This window comes from Homo sapiens, chromosome 16 (genome assembly GCF_000001405.40).
Source record: "Homo sapiens chromosome 16, GRCh38.p14 Primary Assembly".
NCBI lineage: Eukaryota > Metazoa > Chordata > Mammalia > Primates > Hominidae > Homo > Homo sapiens.
Window position 1 is genome coordinate 50,624,356 of NC_000016.10, and position 25,567 is coordinate 50,649,922.

Consider the following 25,567-nt stretch of genomic DNA (forward strand, 5'->3'; position numbering starts at 1 on the left):
TCAGACACTTCAGGTTGCTGAAAATGATAATAATGAAATGATTGTTTCATTGATTATTGATTGAAATAATTATTTCAATGACTGTTAATCATTACAGCAAAAATAACAGCTACTACCATTGATTGAGCTTTTCCATGTGCCAGACAGTGCTCCAAGCATGGGTGTAAAGGACACCAGCATTTACCCTCCACTTCCTGTTTCCAATTCCCATAAGCAGACCTGACCACATGGCACTGGGAGCAGGCAGTGTGTAGGGGAGGCGATCCTGGGGCGCAGGTGCGAGGAAGGAGGAAAGCCAGTGAAGGCTGGGTTCATCTGTGGGCTCTGCCTGCTGGAGAGCCTCCTAGGAGCCATGTAGCATGCGCTCAGATTTGTCCCAGGGAGGGGTGAGGAGGCCTGGCGTTTCCACTGCCTCCTGTCCCTCCCTTGTTCCGTTGCCTCTGGGCATTCCTTCCCAGGCTCTTCAGGGCTGCCCTGAGACAGAAAAGTGTACATGAGGTGGGAGGTCGGGAACTGTCCCCACCACAGCTGCAGGGAAACAGCTGGGCTGAGGGCATGTGGGTGGGGCATTTAATCTTCCCAGCAACCTCGTGGGAGAGAGGCTGTCATTTTCCATAATGTATACAAAGAGAAACTGAGGCACAGCAGAGGGCAGTGACATGCCCAGGGTCACACAGCTGTGGAGGGGCCTGCAGGGGCTGGATCCCGGGGCTGACCGACACCCGAACCCCTCATGCTCATGCTGTCCTACCCTGGCATCCTCCTGGGGCTCCCAAATTGCCGCTCCTTTGCCTTCTAGTTGCTTCTTGCCCTTGGTCCAAGTTCAGCTTTTCTGAGGCCACAGTGCCTCTTCTCAGAACCCCCTGTGTTTCCTTTGTCTTTGAAGACCCACAGACCACCAGGCACCCCTGCAGGCATCCCTCCCCAGGCCAAACCTCCCCTGCCCGGGCTCTGGCTGCCCTCCTGGGCCAGTTCTGTCTTGGCCAAAGTGCTCCCTGTCCACTCAAGGTCTGGGGAGGGCAGAGGACAGGTGGCCGCCCCTTGGCCTGGCCTCTAGGCCCAGGCTTCCACTACCCAGTCAGTGTTGCCACAGATAGGGGACCAGCCCCGCCCATCTCTCTGCATCCAGGAGCTCCAGTGCGACGTGTCCATGGAGGAGGACAGCCGGCAGGAGTGGACCTTCACCCTGTATGACTTTGACAACAACGGCAAGGTCACCCGAGAGGTGAGTGCACCTGCCTGGCCTCTTGCCGTGTATCATACCCGCAGGCACAGGGCCTGGGCACAGCACCCTGCCACTGCCACTTCTCTCCCCTGCATCGGTCCTGCCCCTCAGGGAAGGCCGTAACAGCCAGGGAGTTGCTGGGAGCTCCTGCGAGATCTGGAGGGGCATCCCAGAGCTGCTGGCAAGTGGGAAGAGAAGACAGGGAGGGAAGGCAGCTCCCCTGCTCTCAGCCCAGGCACTGTCCCTCCCGGGAAAGAAGTTGGGGGGGGCAGGTGCAGAGCCCTAGGGCCTCTCTGGAGATGGCCCCAAGGCCCTAACCGAGTCCTGTCCTGCTTCCCTCTCTCCACAGTCCCAGAGCTCTAGGGGTGGGGCTGGCACCACCACAGGCCACCTCCCTTGCTCAGCCATGCTGCCCAGGAGCTTGGGGGTGGGGGCACAAAGAGGCCACACAGCGCCTTGTTTTGAGGCTACAGGAATGAGCACCTCCAGTGCTAAGGGCCCTGCCAGTGGCTCTGCAGTCACAGCTCTGGTCACAGCCTCGTCCCAAACCTCTTCTTCCTTATCCCTCTGCAGGCCGGTCTCTCTCGCTCAGGGCCCTCCTCCTGCAGCTCTCTCCTTCCTGCCTGTGTCTTTGCATATTGAGCACCAACTGTATGCATCTGTTGGGTGCTAGGTACTAGGCATGAGGACACAGCAGGGAACAAAACAGACACGTTCCTCGCCCTGGAGCTTTGACCTTCTGACAAGAGGCAGATCCAAACAATTGTAGGATAACTGTGAGCGGTGATGTGTTCAGTGAAGGAAATAAACAGGTGCTGGGACAGAGACTGGCTGGAAGGTCCAGGGGAGGCCTCCTGGAGGGTCCAGGGGAGGCCTCCTGAAGGAGGCGGCAAGGGAGCTGAGACATGCAGCATGCACAGCCTTGGGGGAGTCCTGGGCAGGCAGACGCCAGGGGCTCAGGGTGTTTAAGGAACTGAAGGAGGTGGCCGTGGTGGCCAATCAGCAGAAGAGACACAGATGTGGCTGGGGATCCAGCAGGGCCAGACTTCTGGGGCCTTGGAGGCCCTGGCAGGCAACCTGGATTTGATTTCAGGTCCTGAGGGCACCGCTGGAGGGTTGGTATCCTTCCTTACACTTCCTCATTCCTTTTCCTCCCCTGTCCCTCTCTGATGACCTGTCCCTCCCCGAGAGGACCCCATCTTCAGGCACGAGACCTGTTATAGATCTGAGGTTACATGCACCTGCGCGGCGGTCGCAGGTTAGCACGTCTGGGCTCCACTTGCTTCTTGTCCAGCATGTGGGGGCCTCATGTTCCCAGAGAGACACTAAAGCTTTGCTGACTGGTCTCCTCATCCTGGGTCAGGACGAGTGTTTTCTTCTCTGTGGATAGGGCAGGAGAAGTTCACCTTTATGCTGCCATATGTGAATTCTGGGTTAACAAGGTCACCTCCTCCTCAGGCTGTGGTTTTCGGGCTGTTTCAACAGGTTGGAGGAGGAAGTTGTGACTTTTAAGCACCCAGGACTCTGACATGTAAGTGACAGAATACATGCTCCAACTGCTGTATTCGAAAAAAAAAAGAAATAGATTGGCTCATGTAACTGAAATTTGGTCCGGGGTCTGACTTTGGGGATGGCTTGACCCAGAGGCTCAGTGGCTTCAGGACAAGGTGTTCATCACTGCTCTGTTTCCTCAGTCTATTTCCTCTATTCCTCAGCTCTATTTCCCTTCTTGTGAGGCAGACTCTCCCCTTGGCAGTAGCAAGATGATTGCTGACAGTTTCAACCTGCGTTGTCCTTCACTGCTTTGATAATGAGAGGAAGGGAGAGAGGGTTTCCAAGGAAGGTGGCCCAGCCCGGCCCTGGAGAAAGTGTTCACTGGGTCATGTCTTCCTCCCACCGAGGAGCCAGGGAGTGGTTTTGAGTGGAGGGAGGACTGGTCTGGTGTTTCCCTGGTCTATTTTTAGCCCTGACGCCACCCCTCAAATTTGGCTGTAAATACAGTTCCCTTCCACGCCTTCTGAGTGCCAGGGCAGATGGGCTCCCACCTCACGGCATCTGCAGCCCAGAGCTGGGGTGTGGGCCAGCTTTCCAATCAGAAAGAAGACCTGCTCCCCCTTCAGGCGTTCGTTCATGCAGGAAATACTGAGCACACCGATTCCTACGTGTCTGCCCTGTGTAGTCAGTGAGGTTGATTTTCAAGCTAGAATTGCCAAAGCACATAGGCTCTGAGACCCTCGGTCTGCTGGGACCACCCCCATCCTGATCACACACCAGGGCTCCAGGTCCTCTAAGGTATCAGAAGTTTGGGGGATGAAGTGAGCGGCCATCAGCTGCCTCATCTGTATAATGAAACCTCCTTCATGGGCTGCCCAAGATAGAGAGAGTGAGCAAATGGGGCCTTATGGAGAAGCCAGAGGGAAGAAAAGGAGGCACAAGGAGAGTCCTCTGCGGGCCTCGTCGAAAGAAGTGGGATCCCTCCCCGAGATGAGCAAGGCAGCTAGGGAGTGCCTGGAGCCTGGGTCTCAAACTTATGGCCCCCACAATTTCAATCTGGCCCCCAGATGTTCTGGTCTGGTCCCGCAAAGGGTTTTGTTAAAAATCAGTTGCCAAGATCAGCAATTTTGAAGATTTAACAGAAGATCCTGGATTTCTGGCTTTTCTGTGTGACCCCCTCCCACCTGCATTGTCAAAGGACAAGTCAACTGAGCTGAGCGGCCGTGCCTCCCAGGACAGGGTCAGCGCCTCTGTCGGCCCCCATTACTCTGGACCACTCACCCACATGCCTGCCTGGCTGGGGCTGCGCTGGGGTTGCCTCAGCTGCTTCAGCCTGTGGGACTTACAGGCAGGAGGTGAAGGATTGCTGGGCAGGTAACTGACCATGGATGGGGTTGCTTCATAGAGAAAAAATGTCTTCTCCAGAGGTTTCCAATGCCATTTAAAGCAGGACATTGCCCTGCACCCCAACACCAGACAAGTGACCACAGCAGATACCCAGATAGAAAGGGCCTAGTGAGGAGAATCGGTGCCCTCCAGTCCCAATCAGAAGGGTTTGAGACACCTGGAAGACATTGTATGGACACCCCTGTTCTGGTTGAGGGGTACCTGAGGCTCGGAGAGGAGATGAGATTTGGTCAAGTTCTCACAAATTAGTTTTATCTTTTAGGGACAGTCTCAGCCAGCTCAAGCTGCCGTAATAAAATACTACAGACTGGGTGGCTTAGCAGAAATTTATTCCTCACGGTTCTGGAGGCTGGAAGTCCAAGACCAAGGGGACACCTGCTTCAGTTCCTGGTGAGGGCTCGCTTCCTGGCTTGCAGACGGCCACCTTCTCACTGTGCCCTCATGTGGTGGAGAGACCTCTTCTAGTGTCTCTTCCTTTTTTTTTTTTTTTTATTTTAAACAAGAGATGGGATCTTGCACTGTTGCCCAGGCTGGAGTGCAGTGGTGTGCTCACGGCTCACTGCAGCCTCAAACTCCTAGGCTCAAATGATCCTCCCACCTCAGCCTTCCAAGTAGCTGGGACTACAGGTGTGCACCACCACACATGGCTATTTTTTATTTTTTATTTTTGTAGAGAATGTTATGTTGCCCAGGCTGGTCTTGAACTTCTGGGCTGAAGTGATCCTCCCACTTTGGCCTCCCAAAGTGCTGGGATTCCAGGTGTGAGCCATATCCCTAGCTCTCCTCTTCTTCTAAGGGCCCTGATCCTATCATGGTCCCGCCTTCATGACCTCGTTTAACCTTAGTTATCTCCTTACTCCGAATACAATCACATTGGGGGTTAGGGCTTCAACCTGTGGATTTGCAAGTGAGTGGGGAGCCACAGTTTAGCCCATAGCAGGGACACATCTCCCTTTCCATTTTTCATTTCGAACCCGAAGCAGATGCTGTTGATGCCCCCACTCCATTTTCCCTGGGTCCACCTCAAAGTTCACCTGCTGCCATGGTGGATGGTGCCCACTGTAAGAGCTTTCTCAGGTACAAGGAGTTGGCTTGGCCCCTGCAGGGAAGCCCAAAAGCACAAGGGAGGGTTGGGCACAGTGGCTCATGGCTCACATCTGTAATCCCAACACTTAGGGAGGCTGAGGCTGGAGGATCGCTTGGGACTGGGAGTTCAAGTCTGCAGTGAGCCATGATCACACCCCTGCACTCCAGCCTGGGTGACAGAGTGAGACCCCCATCTCAAACAAACAAACAAAAATCCAAAGTACAGGGAATGTAGTAGTATCCTTGGGGAGCTCTCAGGCAGTGAGGAATGAGAGTCCATTTCTAAACCCTCCCTCTATCTAGAAGAGGCTGTTCCAAGGTGGGCTCCACACACTCCCTCCAGGGCCCCAGTGCGACTGAGCCCCAGTTGTCCCTGGATGTAACCTGCCCTTTTCCTTTTCTCTTATGGGATTTTCCTGTTCTCTCTCCCTGCTCCCTCATTTCTGCTTCCTAGGATCTCCTCCCAAACGAACCTCAGACATCCAGGTTTCTGCCTTAGATCTGCTTTGGGGCAGCCAGAGGGGTTCAGGCCTGCAGCGTCCACCAGGCCCTCTGGTTTGTATTTTCAAGGCCCTGTGACTGAAACCCTGCATGGGTCTCCGCTTCCCTCCCATTCAGGACATCACCAGCTTGCTGCACACCATCTATGAGGTGGTGGACTCCTCTGTCAACCACTCCCCAACATCCAGCAAGATGCTGCGGGTAAAGCTCACCGTGGCCCCCGATGGCAGCCAGAGCAAGAGGAGCGTCCTTGTCAATCAGGCTGGTGAGGGCTGCAGGGCTGAGCCTGGGAAACAATGTCCTCCCATCTCAGGAAGGAACAGAGCCTTCCTGGGAGGGCCGGAAGGGAACCTGTGGGCTTTCTGGGGCAGCTGCTTTGTGGACAGGTGGGGTTCAAATGGGTCCTTGAAAGGGTAGGAGGAAGGGTGGGAAGGGGAGGGAAGGGATTCTGGGTGAGAGGCCTCATATAGGCAGAGCCATGCAGCTGGAGTGAAGGCTGGTGTTACGGGCAGCATGGCGTCTGCAAGCCTTGAGGCCAGCTGGAAGGAGGTGAGGCTGGAGGGGGAGTCTGGGGGAGGAGGTGAGGCTAGATGGGGATGTGTCCAGGGCAGGTAGCCTTGAGACCCCTTTATTTAGCCCCAGCTCAGGGAACCCTCCCACAGTGGCCTTGCAAAGCAGCTGCACGCCAGGCAGCCCTGGGGAGGGTGGGAGCAGGCAGCTCACCTGGTGTCTCCTGTGCTTCTCGGGCCGGACTCAGACCTGCAGAGCGCAAGGCCCCGAGCAGAGACCAAGCCCACTGAGGACCTGCGGAGCTGGGAGAAGAAGCAGCGAGCCCCGCTCAGGTATGTGGGCATGGTGCACATGAGCATATGTTGAGCACCAGCTGTGTACCTGCTTCTGAAGGATTCAGAGCAGGAAGTTTTGCTCTGGTCTGTGTTCTCTTCAGGGAGCCAACACTTTTGATGCACAGACTCATAAATCAAATGAAAATCTTAACAAATAACTACATGTAGTCCACATCCTTTTATGGAACACATCTTGGGCAGACAGGACTGGAGGTCAGCATTTTTTGGGCTTTGGAAAGGTGCTCTCAGCAGTGCATCAGGCTCTGACGTGTTGCTGTTTCTGCTGGGAGATGACTGAATATTCACACTAAGTGAGATAAAGACCGTAAACACCTTCCCATCCCTTTAGGGTGGGCCTGGCTGCCACGTGGGTTATGAAAACTCTTAGTTTTCAGGCTTTTTGGACTTCAGAATGGTGGATAAGGAATTATGAGGCTGTAGTTACCTTTCACCTGTTACTTCTTCAGCTGCAAGGGAGGAAGGGAGGAAAGGAAAGAGAGATTGTTTAAAGAAAGGGATTGAGTAAACAACAGTAACACGGCAGGCATAAGGCTGTGTTAACCTCTAGTGTGCAAATGGTAAGGGAATGATCGGAGCTGGATTAGTACTCGCTAGGGGAAAGAAAAAACAGTTCAAGCAGGGTCACAGCCAGGTGTGGGGACAGGGCTGAGAATCAGAGGGACCCAGGCTGGCTAGAGATCCTGGGGGAAGGTGGTACTGTGTTGTGTGGGAAGGAAGCCAGGAGGGAGCAGATCGAAGAGGTCCTTGGAGGAGAGGGCTAGGGAGCCCCGAGCCCTGCAGGGGAAAAAGAAAGCCTCTGGCAGCATCTCTCCCCACCCCTCCATGCACACTGTGTAAGTCACACATGCATGTGCACACACACACTCACACACTGGTGAGGCCCATCCTGGGCCGTAGGGCAGGTCATGGGGTCTGCCTGGCCCAACCCCAACAGTTTAAGGGGATTCTGCTGCCCACACCCCCTGAGGAACCAGGCCAGGGGTTAGGCCGCCTACCTGCAGTGGGCACATATGGCTTGAAGCCTGGCACTGGGGCATTCCTAGAAGTTGACCAATAACCTCTCACGTTTGCTTTGAACCTGTTCAGAGCAAAACCCCGTCCACTCCTCCCAGAAGCTGCGGGGAGGTCGGGCTGTGGGCTGTGGTCTATGGTCTGTCTCTCCATCGGCAAGGAGGGAAATGGAGGCACAGTTCGTATAGAGGACTGTTCCTCCCCACCCTCTCCAAAGGCCAAGAAGGAAATGAATGAAGGGTCCAGAGTTCATTCTGGGGGCTTCCTAGTAGCCTATGCGCTTGCCCCCACCTGGTGGTTGGTGTTATCCCACTCACTTGCCTCCCCTGCCGTAGGTTCCAGGGTGACAGCCGCCTGGAGCAGTCTGGCTGCTACCACCATTGCGTAGATGAGAACATCGAGAGGAGAAACCACTACTTAGATCTCGCCGGGATAGAAAACTACACGTCCCAATTTGGGCCTGGTAAGGGACTCAAGCACCCTGCAATGGGCGATGAGGGCAGGGCGTGGCTGGACGGGCCAGGCGGGCCGTGCGGGTGGTGTTCACTGCTACCCCAGGCTTCGGTAAGACAACTATTATGGGACAGGTCAAAGACTTCTTGGAGAAAGTGACGTTAAAAATGGTTTCAAAATTAAAGTAATACATGCACGAAATCGAACAAAATCCAATAGTATCTAAAGGCTTAGCACCCAATGACAAACAACAGTTTTGTGCCCCATCCCAGCCCACCCAAGCCCTGTTCCCGGGGCAACCACTTTGACCTCTCCTGGCTGTTTCTTCCAGCAAGAACCTCGGTTTCCCTAAGTACAGCACTACTGTGTCTTTATCAGCCTTGACATATGTTGACCTCTTGCTCAATTTCACTCCCACAACTCCCTTCTCCCCTTTCTCTTCATATGTTTAATTCCTCTATGAGTTACTTCTGTATGTTTTTAGCAATATACTTAGAGTTCTTTCTTGCCCCAGTGACCTTAGATAGTTTTCGGGGTCTCTGCTGCCATCTGTCTTTCTCGGCTCCCTCTCGGAGAGTATTTTTGAAGACCTACCAAAGAACCAGTTCTTCCCACTTAGCAGATGGGAAAGTTCCATTTCAGAGAGTTTTCCTGCAAGGCAGTGAGGGGCAGTCAGGGCATTGGGGGGTAGCTCTGGTTTTGGAGAACTGGGGGCGGGGGTGATGTCTGGGGTATAGCGCAAGCCCCAGCACACAGTAGGTGCTCATTAAATGTCTGTTGAATTGGTTCCTAGGCTCCCCTTCCGTGGCCCAGAAGTCAGAACTGCCCCCCCGCACCTCCAATCCCACTCGATCTCGCTCCCATGAGCCGGAAGCCATCCACATCCCACACCGAAAGCCCCAAGGCGTGGACCCGGCCTCCTTCCACTTCCTTGACACCCCAATCGCCAAGGTCTCAGAGCTCCAGCAACGGCTCCGGGGCACCCAGGACGGGAGCAAGCACTTTGTGAGGTCCCCCAAGGCCCAGGGCAAGAGTGTGGGTGTGGGCCACGTGGCCAGAGGGGCAAGAAACAAGCCCCCTCTGGGACCCGCCATCCCTGCGGTGTCCCCCTCCGCCCACCTGGCTGCCAGCCCGGCCCTCCTCCCCTCCCTAGCCCCCCTCGGGCACAAGAAGCACAAGCACCGAGCCAAGGAGAGCCAGCAGGGCTGCCGGGGCCTGCAGGCACCACTGGCCTCAGGTGGCCCTGTCCTGGGGCGGGAGCACCTGCGGGAGCTGCCCGCCTTGGTGGTGTATGAGAGCCAGGCCGGGCAGCCGGTCCAGAGACATGAGCACCACCACCACCATGAACATCACCACCATTACCACCACTTCTACCAGACATAGAGCCCCTCCCCAGGGCCCCACCCTGCCATATGAAGGACCCCACCCCCGACACCACAAGGCATTATTATTCTATTAATTATTGTTATTATGATGATTATTGTTATTAATAATTATTGTTACTCCACTAATATTTAGCTAGCCTACATGTAGAAGATCTATGGAAACACAGAACTAAACTTTTATTTATATGTTGTGGGGACTGCATAACTAGCCCAGGAAATGACTCTGGTTTTGAGTGGCCTGTAATGGGCAGAGGCTCCCTCGGGGCTCGGGATCTGCAGCATCTATGTGGATCAGCCCACACCCTTCCCAGAGCCAGGGAGCCCTTAGCCTCAACTCTGCCCCACCCCAGCCTCTTCCAGGAGAGCACCCTTACTTGGCCCGGCTTCCAGAGACCCTCGAAATCTCCGAGAAGATAAACAGCTGCTACCTCTTAGTATTATTCTGATTTTATTTTGCCCTTAACTGATTGTTATATGCTACAAGGGATTTCAGTGGACTGCAGAGTGCGAACGTCTTGCTGTTGTGTTTTTATGTCCCAACCTAGAAACCTTAGCTGTCTTTTCTGGAGTTGTCTTTCATGCTTTTCCAGTGGGATCAAGCCCTTTTCCCCAAGAGTCCCATCTCTTCTGCCATGCACGACATGAAAATCCACTTCTCTTCCTTCTCCTTCTTCTCTCTCTACTTTACAGTGATACACACACGTATTTAAGGACTATCCCTGAGACCATCCTTCTCATTTTGGAAACTGCTAGGGAGGGAACCAACCACTTAAACAAGCGTGGTTTTCCAAGATCCAGGCAATTGTGTGCTGTTGGTTGTGGTGGAGGATGTGGCACATATATACGTACCTACACGGTTCTCTAACAGAGCTTTCTGTATCTATAGATAGATGCCATCTGTCCATTTCTATGTATCTTTCTATAAATATACACTCTCAGGTATCTTTTCTGGTGTGTATAAATCAGTGGTTTGCTTCCCTGGATGCTTCTGGAACCCAGATGTGACCCTGCTTGTCTCCTTTTGGGGCTGGACGGCTCTCAGATGCTTTCATCAGAGGTCCATTCTCGGGTTTTGGGGTCTGATGGATTTTGGAGAGAACTGCTGGGGTACAGAAACTTGGTGGGAAAAGGGGACTGTGGCCAGAGTTGGGACCCTGGAGCAGCATCCTCTGCAGAGAAGGATTTTGTCTGGCCAGAGCCTGGAGAAACCTGAAAAAGAACCAGTCAGCTAGCCAGGGTCTCAGAGAAAAGCAGATTACACACTCAAATTGGGTAATTTGAGCAGAGCTTAATAAAGGCAGTATTTACAAAGTGTGGGCTAAGCCTCCCATGAGAGTGCAGAACCCTGGGGCTAGCAGTGTGGGGCGCTATTCCCACCCCTGGGCCTGAGTGGGGAAGGAGTTATCTTTAGCAGACAGAGGATTGCTGGAGGAGTGAGAGGGGCACCTGAAGGAGCTGTGACCTTTGCTTAAAGGATGCAGCCAGTCATGGGGACCCTCCAGGGAAATTAATATCCTGACCTGCTTTCCTGCCCCCCAGCCCCCTCAATCCATTGGCTGAGGCCGCTGGAAGCCACCGGGCCAAGGGAGCTTGTTGATGTGGGTCACACGGGCATGTTCCCAGGTCAGAGAGGAGAGTGGAGAGTGAATCTAGGGAGACTCAAGAGGGAGAAGTGACTCCAGCTACCTTCCTTTCTGCCGTTTTGTCTCCCAGCTGGCATTCTCTTTTCCAGAGCCTCGAGTTTGGGTTTAATGTAGTTAGTAAGGAGTTACTTCCAAAGGTAGTGGGCTTAGTTGTCACCGTATTCTTAATTTTATTAATGACTGATGTGCCTGGGATTGGATTAATACATTAATCCTTAGGACAGCCCCATGAGGCAGCTTGGTGGCAGCTCAGGAAGCATGTCTAAGGCTCAGAAGTTCATAACTCCCTTGAGGCCGCACAGAGGGCGGAGCTGGAATTCTGGTCTCCCACTCGATCCCTTCGCCACTGGTGCAGAGCTTAATCACGGCCATGGGCTGCCCTTGTTTTGGGTTGTGGGTTTCTGTTCAGTGAGAACGCAACTCAATCCAAAGTGAATGAAACCAAGTTGGAAGGCAGGGAGGGAACTGGCTTTGAGATGACAGGGTCCAGGATGTGAATGCAGCTGAGACTGGTTCTTGTCCCTCCCTCTTGTCCCTCGGATTGATAACTTGTACTCAACTACATGCTTTTGTCAGGGAACCCTGGCTGCTGGCCTTCTGGGTCCCCTAACCATAAGAAAAAGGACCTTCCGTTAGTGTAAAGCCCAAGGCAGGATTCTGCTTGGCTGGGCTTCGATCTGGTACCCATAGCTGGACCAATCATGACATCCCAGATGGGGTCACGTGGCCAACCTGCCGCAAGGGGGTGGGGTCTGTACCGGAAGACAGGAGGGGAGGGGTGCAGATCGGACAGGAAGTAATGGCATCCCAGGCCCCGAATTGCTGCAACCCTGGAGGCCAGCCCGGAGTTGAGACTACTGGTTTTAGAGCAGTTCCTCTGCCTCCCTAAGCTCCACACCTGTCAGGATTCTGTTACTTCTTGGTAACTGGGACTTGCCCAACTTTAAAAACATTATTTAAAAAAATAGTAATGTGCACATGTAAAAGATTCAAATAGTATATATACAAGGTGTACAGTAAAAAGTAAACTTCCCTCCATCCCAGGCCTGCCAGCATCCCTGATGCCGACTTTCTGGGTGTGGCCTAGGGCCCCTCAGTGTAATGTAGGGGTTGTGAGCACAGACTTTGGTGCCAGTTTGCTAGGTTCGAATCCTGACTCCCTCTTTGTAGCTCTGTGCTTCAATTGAAATACTGTGCCTCAGTTTCTCCTTTATAAAGGCAGGGATCATGAGAGTGCCTGTCCCTTGTGAGCACTATGAAAGTGTTAGCTGTTCTTTACCAGAATAAATGCATTTCTATATCTTCCCATATGCATTTTGTTAATTTTTAAAGTATTTCAAACACAAAGTTTGAAACAGAAAATTGTGTAACATTAACTATGAACTTACCACCCAGAATTTACAAATGCTGACATTTTGCAATATTTATTTCGGATCTATTTTTAAGGGGGGGAACCCTGCAGTTACTGCTTAATCCTCTTCCCACCCCACCCTTTTATTTTTACACAAGGAGCATAGTGTTCATACTTATGCTATTTTTTTCAGTAACTGAATATATTTGGAGATCTCCCTCCCTAGGTCATAGAGCTCTGCCCCCTTCTCTCTAACAGCTGCTCAGCCTTCTGTGACTAGAGGTGCTGTCACCAGCTTGCCCCATCCCCTCCTGGTGGTCATAAGGGTCATCTCTCATCCCAGGCTCTGGCGAACACTGTGCTGAGAGTCCTTGCATACAGCTCTCCCGGTGCCCACAGGCAGGAACACAGGCGACAGAAAGTTTCCACGTGGAACTGCAGAGTTCAAGAGCAAGTGTGATTTCAATTTTGATGAGATTGTACATGACCTCTAAAAGAGGTTATACTGGCCGGGCACGGTGGCTCACGCCTGTAATCTCAACACTTTGGGAGACCGAGGTGGGTGGATCACCTGAGGTCAGGAGTTCGAGACCAACCTGGGCAACATGGTGAAACCCCGTTTCTACTAAAAATACAAAAAATTAGCTGGGCATGGTGGTGCGTGCCTGTAATCTCAGCTACTCGGGAGGCCAAGGCACGAGAATCGCTTGAACCTGGGAGGCAGAGATTGCAGTGAGCTAAGATTGCACCACTGTACTCCAGCCTGGGCGACAGAGTGAGACTCCATCTCAAATAAATAAAGAGGTTATACTGAATAATGAGGAATCAAAGGAAGAAGAAGAAAGAGAGAGGAAGGAAGGTTGGAAGGAAGGAAGGAGGGAAAATTAGAAGGGGAAACCATGATTGCTGGTGAGGTTTTGAGCACATTTTCCTGCAGGCTGGTATGGGTGAGAGGTTTGGTCTTGTTTGCAAATCTTCTGAAGGCCATTCCAGAGGAGCAGTTGCCACTGCCCCATCCCCTGAGCTCTGAGCGTGGGGGTTCCCCTGGGGAGACTCCTGGTGAGAGGATGCCGATTTCTGCTGATCTGTCACTGGGTACCGAGGACTGGGTGTGTTTAAGGCAGACAGCCAGGTGAGGATCCCAGCTACTGGGGCCTGCTGTCATCTCCTGGGAGTACCCGGGGGTCAGGAGCCTAGGGGACTCTTGCACTTCACATCCAGCCATGCTAATTACACTTTTTGGCAAAGGAAACAGCTAGGAGCAGTTTCTTTCACTCCTACAGCCCCGTTTTCTCAGTGTTTAGACCTCGAATTATTACTGGGCTAGAGGGAAGGCAGCCTCTGAAGTGTGGCAGGAGGAGGGGAAGTCTGCCTGCATCTTGGTGTGTCTGTCAGATGCCAGCACTAATAACCTGGCTTCTGTGAGGCCTGTCAGTGCTCTCAGGAATGAAAGGGGACCCCTGAGAGGTGCTCAGTACCAGCAGGCTGTGAATGCTCTCTACCCACCACCCTCACCTCCTCGTTAAAGATGGTGCTACCTGCCACACAGCAGACATCTGGTCGCTGCACACCCGAAAGACCCCAAGGCAGTCTGCCCCTTGTCCAGCCACACGCCAGCACCCACCCTCCTGGCCCCTGCCTCGGCCTCCCCAGACCAGCTGCACCCAGCCCCCAACACGCACCCCTTCTCCAGATGTGTGCAGGGCCTCATTTTGCAGAGCAAAGACAGATGTTTCAGCCACACGCTTTATTAACTTCTAAAACCTGTGCTCAGGACACTCTTCAACAGTCATGAAAAGTTTGATCACTTGCCACAGTCAGGACCTTTGTGTGGGGCTCTGATCTGATGTTCGGTCTCATCATCTCCCAAACCAGCAGTCGTTTGTACCCCAACCCTCTGCTCAGGGGCTCATACCCCCAAATGATTTTCCTGATTTATGTATTTCCCTACAAAGGGCTTTCTATACCTAGCATCTGCCTCCAGCATGAGAAGGGGGAATAGGTGAGACCCATTTGCCAGTAGCAGACGGGGACCCTGGGGAGAAAATGGCAGAGCCTGTTGGAGACTCCCTGTCTCCAGCTGACCAGCCAATGGGATTCCTCTTCCCTCCACTGTCTCCCACAAAGTAGAAGAATCCTGGTACATTTAGCCCATGAGCCTGGCACAGATCCCTATCTAGACATGAGGCCCTTTAGACATGACTTTGGCATTGACCAGCCTGTTGGCAATGGGTCGGGGAGGCAGAGGGGATGCTCACACCAGTAATTCTCATCCCCTGAATGCTTGGGATCACCTGGGGAGAGTTCACAAAATACTGGTGCAGGGGTCCCACCTCTGATGATGCTGAGTGGTGGGTCTGGGGTGTGGCCCAGGCATCATGATGTTTCAGGCCCCCAGGTGACTTCTTAGGCAGCCCAGCTAAGCCCCTAGAGCCTTGCAATTTCCCCCAAATGACCTCAGAGGGCCCGATTTGAGGGAAATGCCTAACTTCAGGGGCCGTAAGAATCCCCCAGGGAGCATGTGAAATGCAGATACCAGGCCCACCCCCAGAGATGAGCTGAGGTGGGTCAGGGGTGAAGTGCAGGGATCAGTGTTTTTCACAAGCTCCATACCTCCAGGAAATGGTGTTGTGGTTGGGCCCGTAGAAAACATTCTGAGAGTCCTGTTGCCTGTGCCTTGGTGCACGTGGGGTGGAATCCCAGTGGCCCTGCCTTGAGGAGGATGTGCATTAACGTGGTAGGGGAGACAGAGACAGCTCCACCTGCCCCCTGCCCCACCGGGGACCTCCAAAAACTTCATGGATGTTAGAGCAAGCAGCCATGCTGCAGCAGAGGATGAGGCTGGCGGATTTAGTAAGAGCCCTCTGTGTTTGGGCTGAGTTCTTTCTCTAGTTGCCCTGTCATCTGGCCTCTGGATAACCCACCTCTCCTCCCTCATCCTAAAATTACAGATGGCGAAAGATGGCCACATTTAGTGAGACCCCTAAGGTCCTCCAACTAGGGTGGGTCCACAGTGGCCCCTGGTGCATGGACCACACACTCTCTTCCCTCCTCTGGCTCAGGACTACGGTCTGAAATTAGGGAGATATGAATGTCTTTCTTGAAAACTTCTCTTCCCAGTCTTCCCACTTTGCTTGGGGGTCCTTGGTCAAGGCCAGCTTTGGGGACTAGGGCTTGTTGCGACTACCAGCTGTCTCATTTTGCTGTACTGCAAACTCAGGCTTGGTTCCAAGCTTATGGGGGCCCTGTCCTTCCCCTAGTAGGGTTTGTTTTGGGGTCACATCTGGTCATACCCTTCAGAGAGCTCTTCCCCAGCCTCTACATCAGGGAGAGAGGTAGGTAGGGAGGAGCATTCAAGGATTAGAAGAAGGACTAAAGTACAACAGCCTTGGAGGAACTGCCAGGAACTAAGGGCGAGCACTGGAGAAGGCAACCTGGGACCCCCTGCGCTTCTGAGCAGGAAGACCAAGACCTTCAGGGGCCCTAAGCACTGAAAACATCATTCCTCATCCCCAAGCCCTGGCATCCCCCTGTTCTTCTAAAATAATTCTTTTCTAGGTATTTCTGATTGCAAAATTCTGGATGGGTTCATCCAAGCTGACCTTTGCTGTTTTTTCCCTTCCCAACAAGGCCTCACTTTTTGGAGCCACCTTAGCTGGTGCCTAGGCAGAGGGGCAGTCAGCAGTGGTTATCAGGATCCTGGCTCTATGGGTTGCCTTCCTCCTGGTCTGTAAAGCCCCTGCAGGCAGGGACTTCTTAGATAGCTGCTTCCTTAGGGCATGGCATGTAGTGGGTGGTTAATGAATGGAAGAGAGGGAATGAGTGATCAAGGGAGGGAGGAGGGAGTGGAGTGGAGATTTCTCATCCTTTCCTGTTAATTTATGACATCCTCCTGCCTATGAGTCCTTGACTCTGGAGTTTTACAAAGCAGTCACATTTCAAATAAAAGTCTGGGAAAGCAACACATCATCGCCAACTTTTAATTTTGCTAAATAAGGATATTAGAAAAAGAATAGAAAATTGCAGTCCCTTACTGTTTAAAGAAAAACCAAAAGAAGTTAAAAAGAAAAAAAAAACAACCTCATTATGTTGTCTTTGTTTTTGTTTTGTTTTCTTTCCTTGGAAATCAGTGAAAGTTTGGTCAGCCACACATTGTAGTAGGGCTAGAATTTTTCTTCCCATTTTAGAGACGGGAGACCTGAGACTCCAGGTGGGGGTGTGGAGTCCAAATGGACAGTTCTTCCCAAAGCTGAGCGCAGACCGGCTTGCAGGTCCTTTTTCCAGTCATGGCCTCAGCTGTCTGCAAAGGACTTGGGGGAGGCTGACAGCTCTGATGTCTGGAGAGGGGGCTTCTGCAACCTCCAACACTGGTCAGTAACTCCACAGAGGCCATTGGCGGGGGTGGTCTGCTTGTATCAGCAGGCCTGTCATGGCCAGTTCAATGGTCGGGGCTGAACTATGTCTCTTGGTGCCTGGTAGAGGGGTTGGAGTGGGCCTGAGGCCAACTTGCTCAGAGCCACACTCCCCAGGAAGCTGTGGAGTCTGGAACTCTGCCCTGCCTTCCTGTCCCCTGCCCACTCTAAGCCTCCAGAAGTCAATCCTCTGCTCACCGGGACCGTACCTAGCCTGGCCCATCGATGTGTCATGTTTGACCCATCAAGGGTTTCAAAAATTTTTAATTAATTTCCAAAATCTGAGGGTTTCACCTAAAAACCTGGATGTTTGGCTTTTCTCATAAAAATCAGAAAGTGGGTTTACCCCAGGCTCCTGTTCCCACATGGCTGCAATCCGCCCGCCTCTTCCAATGGTGCACATGCCTTTTTTCCTGCGCCCGGAGCCCCTCTCAGCCTGATTTTGAGGCCTGGCTTTGATGCGATTCAGCTCATGACCCCTGCGCAGCCTCAAGCACCTAAGTTTTGGAGGTCAGTGATGCCACTTAAAAACCTGTTCAGGGCAGAGCGTTAGACAGGAGGATGGCTAAGGGAGCAGCTTCAGGCATGGGAGGACTTTCATGGGGAAGTCTTTGGGGCAGTCCTGGAGACCCTCACAATGTGGCCCCACTCCTCCTTTAGATGGGGCAAGGTGGGCTGGAACCCCCAGCAAAGGGTCCCAGGCTGTGTGAGACCCCGCCCAGCACTCCTTAAACAGCCAAGACAGGTGGAAAGCCCCAACTCAAAAGACTGGCTGGATTGTACCCGGCTCAGTGACTTCCCCTCTTTGAGACTCAGTTTGCTTTTCTGTAAAGTGGACCTAATGAGGCCCGCTTGGCTTCAGCTCCAGGGACTTTGGAGATTTAAGCAAAGCAAGAAATGGGAAAGGAGTTTGTTACATATCAGGCTTCCTGGAGGAATGCCCCCCAGCTCTCTTGGAGGGGGAAGCAAAAAGACTGCTGATCAGGCAGGGGACGGGAACTCCCCGAGTGGCCACATGGGCAGTCTCAGTAGGAGTCTCAGGCCAGGCTCTGTCTGTGGATTCCCACTTCTCTGGGCTGCATCTCACTGTTCAGGCTAGAGTCTGGTCCTTGCCCATCTGCAGGTCCAGGAAGATGTGGCCCCAAATTCTCTGGACCTGATGTCCTAGATCCTGTGCACTTGGCTTCATGGATAGAGTCTGAGAAGGTTGCAGGATCCAGTAGCTGGACCACAGAATGCAGCCTGGGGGTTTGGCTAAGATGAGCAGACTGGCCCATGGTTGAGACTTTGGACCTGAGCTGAGTCCTGGTTCTACTACTTCCTAGATGTGTGACCTGGGACAAGTGACTCACCTCTGTGCCTTGGTGTTTTTCTCTAACATGGGGCTAATTGGGGTAACTACCTTACTGAGCTGTTATGAGTAAATGATCCAGTGGGCGTGAAGCGTTCAGCGCAGAGCCTGGCACGTAATAGGCCCTCGATAAGTAAAACAGCAACAGTAGCTGCAGTTAGGAGAATGTGACCCCAGAAGGCTCATGGGAAAGGAGGTGCAGTCCTGATGGATGAAGGGTACCTGTCCTCCACCCCGGCTGCAGAGCCCCCAGTGAGACAGCTGCTGTGGCATGCTGCCTCTGCTACACACTCAAAAAACACTTGAGGACATGACTTTTCCCTCTCAAGTTTGATGGGATCACTCTGTTCCTTCCAGACCCGACTTGTGGTGTGAACTTGGACAAGCCCCTGCTGTCTCTGGCCTTCAGTACCATATTTGTATTATGAAACTGCCCTTGGCTTGAAGCTAGACTATGGGGGTGGCAGCTCTAAGTCCTACAAACAGTAGGGGTAGTGGTGGGGATGGGCAGCCTGAAAGCCATGCCAGCAGTGCCTTCCTTGGGGAAAGAGGTGGCCTCTGGAGCAATGCTTCGCTACCCTACATCTGGGTCTGTCCTTGCCCAACTCCTAAGCTGCAGGATCGCTGAGGAGTCCACATTGCCATATCTGCCACTTACAGAGTGCCTACTGTGCACCCAGCCCACATTCACTAGTGTCCTCAAAACAGCCTTGAGAGGAAACCAACGAGGAAACAGAGTTACAGTTCAGTTAAGCAACTTACCTAACTTGTGGCTAATGCATGGTAGGATTAAACATAAGCCTGACATATGCTAGCCACATGACCCTCCCTTTCCAGGAGCCTGCTGGCATTGATACAGGTTGACAAAGACCAGTCCTACTCCGTTGTCTGCCATTACTCCAGCCAAGTCCAGGGACACGTGAGGCAAGGGGAGCTGGGGCTGCTGGTGTGGCCGAGACCTCAGCCTCAGCAAGATGGTGCCCCAAGCTCTCAGGGTGCCCTGTGGTCCCCTTCATTCATAACATTGATCATGTTTGTAACTGTAGTTGATTCTCACTCATCGCAGTAGTTACATCTTATAAAGTCACCTCTGACACTGAGTTAGCGCATACTGAACTACTGATCCTAGGGGAAATACAGGGTTAGGTTCCTGCCAGCTTCTGGTCACAACATTTTCATTACCAATCAGTGCATAACCTTGTTTTATGTGTGCTTCTGTTTAAAGATGCCTAATTTACTATATATTCTTGATTCGTTAACATTGAACTCAGCCAACAGCTCTATAACTCATGACTGAATGAAGCTTATCTAGCACACATATTTTCTCTGCAAGGCATATCAGAGCCTTCTGTGCTTAAGAGCACAAGATGGCACTTCAGCGTCATGCCTGGGGAGCATTTTAAGCAGCCAAATCACCAACACAAAGCACAAACATGCACAAAGCATGATGCTAAACAGACTGTGAGAAGGATGTTTGTGTATAGGATGAGAACTGAACCACGAAAGCAGAGCATCATCTTGTTCGACCTCAGTTGAGAACATGTTGTCGGGCCACTCAGACTTTTCACTGCTCTGCGCATATCACGAATGAAGTGAATGCACCATGAGTATTGATTTTGGGTGATAGACAAATTTTAGTGAATAGGCAATTTCGTAAATACAGAATCCACGGAGGGTGAGGATCCACCGTATGTACTTATCTATGCCTCTAATTATTTGGTTTCCACCAAAGCACTTGTTCACCAGATTATCTTATAATCCCAAAGGCCCAGCAAAGACAGGTGCTTGTTCAATGTCTGTTGAGCGACTGAAGGACAACACATTCCTGGCCTCCCCACCCGCCCCCAGCGGGACCTAGCACATGGCCTGCTGTTGACACTCCATGTGTCTTTGTTGATAGAATTCATAAAGACAGATGGGAAAAGGGGCACCCCTCTTGCGGGTTCCTGATGCTGAGAGTTGTTGGAATGTTGATGCTGCCCCCAGAGAAGGGTGACAGCATGCAGACAGACTGGAAACCCAGAACCTCCTGGGGATATTCAGATGGTGTCACTGGGCTCGGCCTGTGGGCTCTCAGCACATCTAGGTACTGGGGCCCAGGGTGACTCTGAGTGGCTCAAGTCCCCTGGCCAGATCCTCTCCAGATGGGCCCCTGGCCATCTTAGCCAACATCACCTGATTCTGTTTCCTCTGACTCTGTCCTCAAAAGGCAGCATCTGATTGTGATTTGGTCCAGAAATTCCTGGCCAGAATATTTCCAGTGTGGTGCATGTGAACTTCCCGCCTTCCCTTCCTTCCCTCCTCCCTCCTTTCTTCACTGGGGAGAAAGAATTTGGCATTCGAGTATCTCACCCCGTCTTGCTAAGCAGTTTAGTTAGACTGCAGGCCAGTCTCTGTGGTGTGACCACCCCCCAGTGGCAAGGAGCTGCCAAAACTGAGCTTCTGGGCAAGACGTGGGCAGAGCAAAGAGAGACCCACACTTGGCACTTCCTGCCCAGAAAGGACCTGCTCAGGCCTGGCTGGCCTTTACCACCGTCATCTCCAGGCTTTCTGTTCATCCGTACTTTCAAAGATTTAGTGATCAAGTACTATGTGTCAGGAACCATGCTCAGCACTCGATAAAACAGACATCATCTCTACCTACCTTTGTGGAGCTTTAATCTAGTGTGGGGGACGGGGGGACTGCTTCCACCCAGAAACGACATTTTTATCCACTGCGATAACTTCTGGGGAGACATGGGAGGGAATAACAGAGGGGACATGATGGAGATGGGGGACTGCAGAGGGACTCTCCAGGAAGCCACATTTAGGGGGTGACCTCAAGGGTGAGGAAGAATTAGCCAGGTGGAAAGTTAGAGGGAGCAGCTGGTACAAGGGCCTCAAGGGTGGATGGAGGGTGAACGCTTGATGAACTGGTGCAGGCCTGTATGGCCGGGTACAGCTGGCAACGAGGAGGCCCGGTATGGGCAGAATCTGGGGGCCTGAATGGTGGAGAGTCTGCTTGTCACCCCAAGAGACACATCAGGAAGCTAGGTGGTCAGTCGGGAGAGAGAGGATGTGACACTCTAGCCACCACCACGCAGAGAAGGGATTGGAAACAGTAGCCCGGAGAGGAGGCTCTCTTGGTAGGATCCCACGGCAACCGAATGGATGCACGTTGTTTATGACGTTCTTACCCATGAAAGCGCTCAAGGATCCGCTTGCTTGCTTACATGTGGGATCAGCACTACCTTCCGTGCTGCCGAACATCTTCTTAAGCGAGGGAAAGAACAAAAAGAAAAGTTGGCAAGAAAGAAAGGGCAAAGACAGAGAGACTGGGAGAGAAAGAGGCCCCAATTTCCTCTCTCTGGTAGTTGCTGAATTGGCTCTCGTGAAGGCAGAAAGGGAAGGGCTGACTTATGTCCCTCTGCCAGGAGAGGGGAAAGGAGGGAGGCATGATATTGACTTAAACGTGGGGGATTTAAAAGGCCCCTATGTTCCCACTTTGTGCTTTGCTTCTAACAGACAGCCTGGGACCTTTGAAGTCGGTCTGGCCCAGTGGGGAGCGGGCTTCTGTGGAGACAAGATGCTAACGGGGGCGGGGGAAGGGGGCCAGGGGGCGGCCGAAACTCTATTAGGCATGCTCTAGCAAAAAGAAAGGCAAATCCAATGATAATGTACATCTGTTTCAGGGAATTTATAAGCTTTGAACATTTTTTATGGGCAGATAAGTGGGTCCTTTTCTTACCATAACTTAGAACTTCAAAGCTGAGTGTGTGGATAATGCAAATTGCTGAAATATGAGATTTTCCCTACAAAGAGGTTTCCAAAAAAGACGAGGAAGAAAAAGAGGGGGGGGGGAGAGAGAACGAAGGCTAACTGATGCCACAGTCTTTTATGTACATGGCAAAAACGGGACAGAAATTGATTTTTATGAAAGAAGAAATTGATGGGAGACATGGCGTGGGGAGGAGGCGGCCTTGTGGCAGGTGCTGGGAGGCAGGGACTGGGGCCGGGCGGGTCCACCCAGGCTGTGGGTCAGCCCTGCAGGGTTGAGCTGCCTGGCTGTGGCTCAGGCCCTGGGGACACAGTGCCCTCCCTCTAGGAGCCTTAATGGGGAAAACAAGAACACTGTCACTCGTAATGGGCATGAAAGGACACTTCAGAGCCAGCCAAGGCAGTGTCAGCCCAGAACAACACCCTGGAACACCCAAGGGGGCTCCAAGGCAGGATGGGACCCCCTGGTTTGGGAAAATCAGAAAAGGCCTCCTGGAGGAGAGGGGCTCTAGGGGGCAGGTATGATCCTGAAGGGAAGACAGTGGGGTGGGACATTTCAGATGGCAAAACAGCTGGGTCAGGATATCCCCAGGGTCATGCCTCTGCCACCCAGACCCCACCACATTCAGCCCTCTGTGCTTTTCTTGTCTCCCACATCCCCAGCCCCAGTAACTAGCAGGGACACAGTCAACATTCAATATGTGCATGTTGAATGAATGAATGAATGAATGTGAGATCGTGAGAACACACAGCTGGTTGGCAAGCAGCATCAACCAGCTCTTTCTTTTCACTATATTACATATCTACAGTGGTAGAGTCATACTAGAAGACATGATGGGATGGTGGTGTGGTCTCTGTAGTTGACCCCATCATCCTTTCTGTCCATAGGTGATTCGTCTAAGCCAGACATGGCAAAGTCCTCACCTTTGCCAGTGACTGATTCAGGAAAGATCATGTGTGACCTTATTCTGGGCAATGAGATCTGAAGGGAAGTCTGTTGAGGAACTTGTAACATGTCATGGTAGTGGCCATCTTGCTACAGCCTGAGGACCACAGAGCACACACAGAGAGTGCTGGGTCCTTGGGAATGATGTTGAGCAAGCACTTATACATGACCTGGCAGCCACCCAGCATCTGTACTTTAGTTATTTGGTTTTTCTCAGGAGGAGATCCTGAGATGAAGACTCAGGAGCAGGTTGTTGATTTTGAGGTGGTCCTGGGAAAGACAGGGAGGAGAGTGGGGAAGTGAGGCAGAAAAGGAAGGGAAGTTCCACTCCAGGAGCCCACGTGGAACATACCTCAGAGTTATCCCACCTGCACAGGGAGGGAGCTGAGGTATTTACCCACCCATCCTTGTCAGTCATTGGTCAAGGGCTATTTCTGTGCATAGGCATAGGCTTCAGCAGAATTGCAGGTACTGGCAGTCGGAAATTGGACCAGCAAACAGAAATGATTCCTACAGGGGATACAAGCCAGGCACAGGCAGTGTCTGTTACTTGGGGTTCCTGTTGCTTAGAGTTGAAAGCATCATAACCCATCCCAGGTGATCATAGAAGGACCTCAAAGGAAAAGGTGAGGGGTTTGGACATTTCCTGAGAATCCATGGGGGAACCATTCAGGGTTTGGGGCAGGTGTCAACCACAAGAACATTAAACAGGCTCTTTTGGCAGCAAAGTTGGGAGTGGTGTTGAAGTAACTGGGAAAACTCCACAGAGGCTCAGCGTCCACCTCTACCTGACACCCTGCCAGCAACCTGGGTGATTTCCGCAGGTGTCTGAACCCCGATCTCTCAGTGTTATGGCCCCCACCACCAGGAAGGCCTCCTTTTCTCTCTTCTATAGCCACTCACTCCTGGGCCCCACTGTGAACCCAGAAATGCCACACCATGGAAGCCACACACTCTGCTGTCTCCTTCTGTCCTCATTCCTGTCCTTCTCACAGTCAGTCCCTCTTGGCTCTTCCTAGAGTCCCTTTCATTCCCTCATTTCCACTTCCTGCCGCTGTACTGTCACCTGTGGCCTGGATTTGCACTCTTGGTCCAACACCCTCAACTCCAACACCTCTGTCTTTCTGCCCCATCCACTAGACAAAAGCTGACTCTGGAAAACATTAGGCACTCAGAATCAAGGGTTCTGGGGTCAGATGGATAATTGCCATCATCCTCACCAAGTTGCCACTGGACTTTCTTGCCCCTAAATCCACTGGGCATTTCATTGCTACCTTTCTTGACTTCTTGATTGTTTTTGTGATACTGACACATCCCCCCTTTCAGAACACCCTCTGCCCTTGGATTCTGTGCACAGGAAGCTAGTTGCTCCCCTGAATACACTCTTTCTTCCTTGTAATACAGCCTCTGATTTTGAGCCCAAGAATAAAGACTACAGTTCTCAGACTCCTTCGCAAATAAATTTTGTGACTAAACTCTAGTCAACAGTAAGTGTCATGTAGCAGCTCCTGGGAATCTCCTTTAAAAAGAGAGCTTGTTTATACCTATTGTCATCTCTGTTCTTCTGTGCCCCTTCTTCCATTTTGCTGCCTGGAAAGCAGATGTGATGGCTGGAATTCCAGTCACCATTTTGGACCATGAGGACAACACCCTAGAGATGTGGAGTGGCTAAAAGAAGCCTGTGTTCCTGAGAACTTAGAGGACCAGGACCTCTATTCCAGGCTTGGACACCTACATTTAGACTATTATATGAGGAAGCAATCAACTTCTCACTTGTTTCAACCACTTTCACTTGCAGTCAAACCTGAATTGTAAGTGAAATTGCTTTCCTGATAGCAAACCTGTTGGATTTTCTCCAGAATCCCTGGGCCACTTTTAGCAGTCAGATTCGTCTAATCCTCCTTTAAAGATGGTGGCAGTGAAACTGGTACATGGGACCTGACTGGGCTTTGTTTGCAACTTTCTGATAATTTATAATTATTTCAAAATAAAAAAATTTTAAAAATAGTGGCGTTGCTCAGATCTCAGTGCTGGCTGCCTGGCCTTCTCCGTGGACTCACTTCTTGGGATCTCGTCCACTGCCATGACTGTCTCTAGGTTGCTGCCAACGAGTCCCAACTACATGCCTCAAAACAAACTCATCATCTTACCCCAAAACCTGCTCCTAGCTCAGCAGATGGCAAGACAATCCAACAAGTAACCCAGACCAGAAGCTTGGGTGCCATCCTTGACTCCTCTTTCCCTCATCACTCCAGTTACTGAGACCTTTTCCACTCTACCCATCCCCTCCATACCCTAGCAGAGAGTCCTGTCGGCTCTCCCCAGCCTGGGGACGGTTCCTCCACTGGCCATGCTGTCTCCCATCAGTCCCCGCACTGCAGACAAAAAGCACTTTTAAAAATGCCAATCTGGGCCGGGTGCAGTGGCTCATGCCTGTAATCCCAGCACTTTGGGGGGCCGAGGTGGGTGGATCACTTGAGGTCAGGATTCGAGACCAGCTTGGGCAACGTGGTGAAATCCTGTCTCTACTAGAATACAACAAATCACTAGGCGTGGTTGCACATCCCTGTAATCCCAGCTACTAAGGAGGCTGAGGCAGGAGAATCGCTTGAACCAGGAGGTGGAGTTTGCAGTGAGCAGAGATCACACCACTGCACTCCAACCTGGGAGACAGGGCAAG

The 25,567-nt window shown here is 52.1% G+C and overlaps 1 protein-coding gene across 1 annotated transcript in view, besides 5 other annotated features; it reads left to right on the forward strand.

The window, feature by feature from the left end:
* The window catches only part of NKD1 (NKD inhibitor of Wnt signaling pathway 1), a 100,854-nt gene extending 75,960 nt beyond the window's left edge, over positions 1-24,894 (forward strand). Inside the window, exons 6-10 of the mRNA NM_033119.5 lie at positions 1,130-1,225; positions 5,831-5,978; positions 6,471-6,555; positions 7,926-8,053; positions 8,837-24,894. Of these exons, the coding sequence (NP_149110.1) occupies positions 1,130-1,225; positions 5,831-5,978; positions 6,471-6,555; positions 7,926-8,053; positions 8,837-9,426 (1,047 nt within the window). The 3' untranslated portion in view covers positions 9,427-24,894. The remainder of the gene's footprint in view (positions 1-1,129; positions 1,226-5,830; positions 5,979-6,470; positions 6,556-7,925; positions 8,054-8,836) is intronic.
* Positions 261-1,026: an enhancer, noted in NCBI's record as "H3K4me1 hESC enhancer chr16:50658527-50659292 (GRCh37/hg19 assembly coordinates)". NCBI's record gives its function as "activates a minimal SCP1, AML or CMV promoter by ChIP-STARR-seq in primed H9 embryonic stem cells {active_cell/tissue: H9 hESC(primed)}" and the evidence as "EXISTENCE:reporter gene assay evidence [ECO:0000049][PMID:30033119]".
* Positions 1,027-1,790: an enhancer, noted in NCBI's record as "H3K4me1 hESC enhancer chr16:50659293-50660056 (GRCh37/hg19 assembly coordinates)". NCBI's record gives its function as "activates a minimal SCP1, AML or CMV promoter by ChIP-STARR-seq in primed H9 embryonic stem cells {active_cell/tissue: H9 hESC(primed)}" and the evidence as "EXISTENCE:reporter gene assay evidence [ECO:0000049][PMID:30033119]".
* Positions 3,491-3,620: an enhancer, noted in NCBI's record as "active region_10819". NCBI's record gives its function as "activates an Ori minimal core promoter by ATAC-STARR-seq in GM12878 lymphoblastoid cells {active_cell/tissue: GM12878}" and the evidence as "EXISTENCE:reporter gene assay evidence [ECO:0000049][PMID:35858748]".
* Positions 19,081-19,235: a silencer, noted in NCBI's record as "fragment chr16:50677347-50677501 (GRCh37/hg19 assembly coordinates)". NCBI's record gives its function as "represses an EF-1alpha promoter that drives an FKBP-Casp9 reporter gene in an ReSE screen in K562 erythroleukemia cells {active_cell/tissue: K562}" and the evidence as "EXISTENCE:reporter gene assay evidence [ECO:0000049][PMID:32094911]".
* Positions 22,207-22,725: an enhancer, noted in NCBI's record as "H3K4me1 hESC enhancer chr16:50680473-50680991 (GRCh37/hg19 assembly coordinates)". NCBI's record gives its function as "activates a minimal SCP1, AML or CMV promoter by ChIP-STARR-seq in primed H9 embryonic stem cells {active_cell/tissue: H9 hESC(primed)}" and the evidence as "EXISTENCE:reporter gene assay evidence [ECO:0000049][PMID:30033119]".
* Positions 24,895-25,567: the final 673 nt, after the last annotated feature.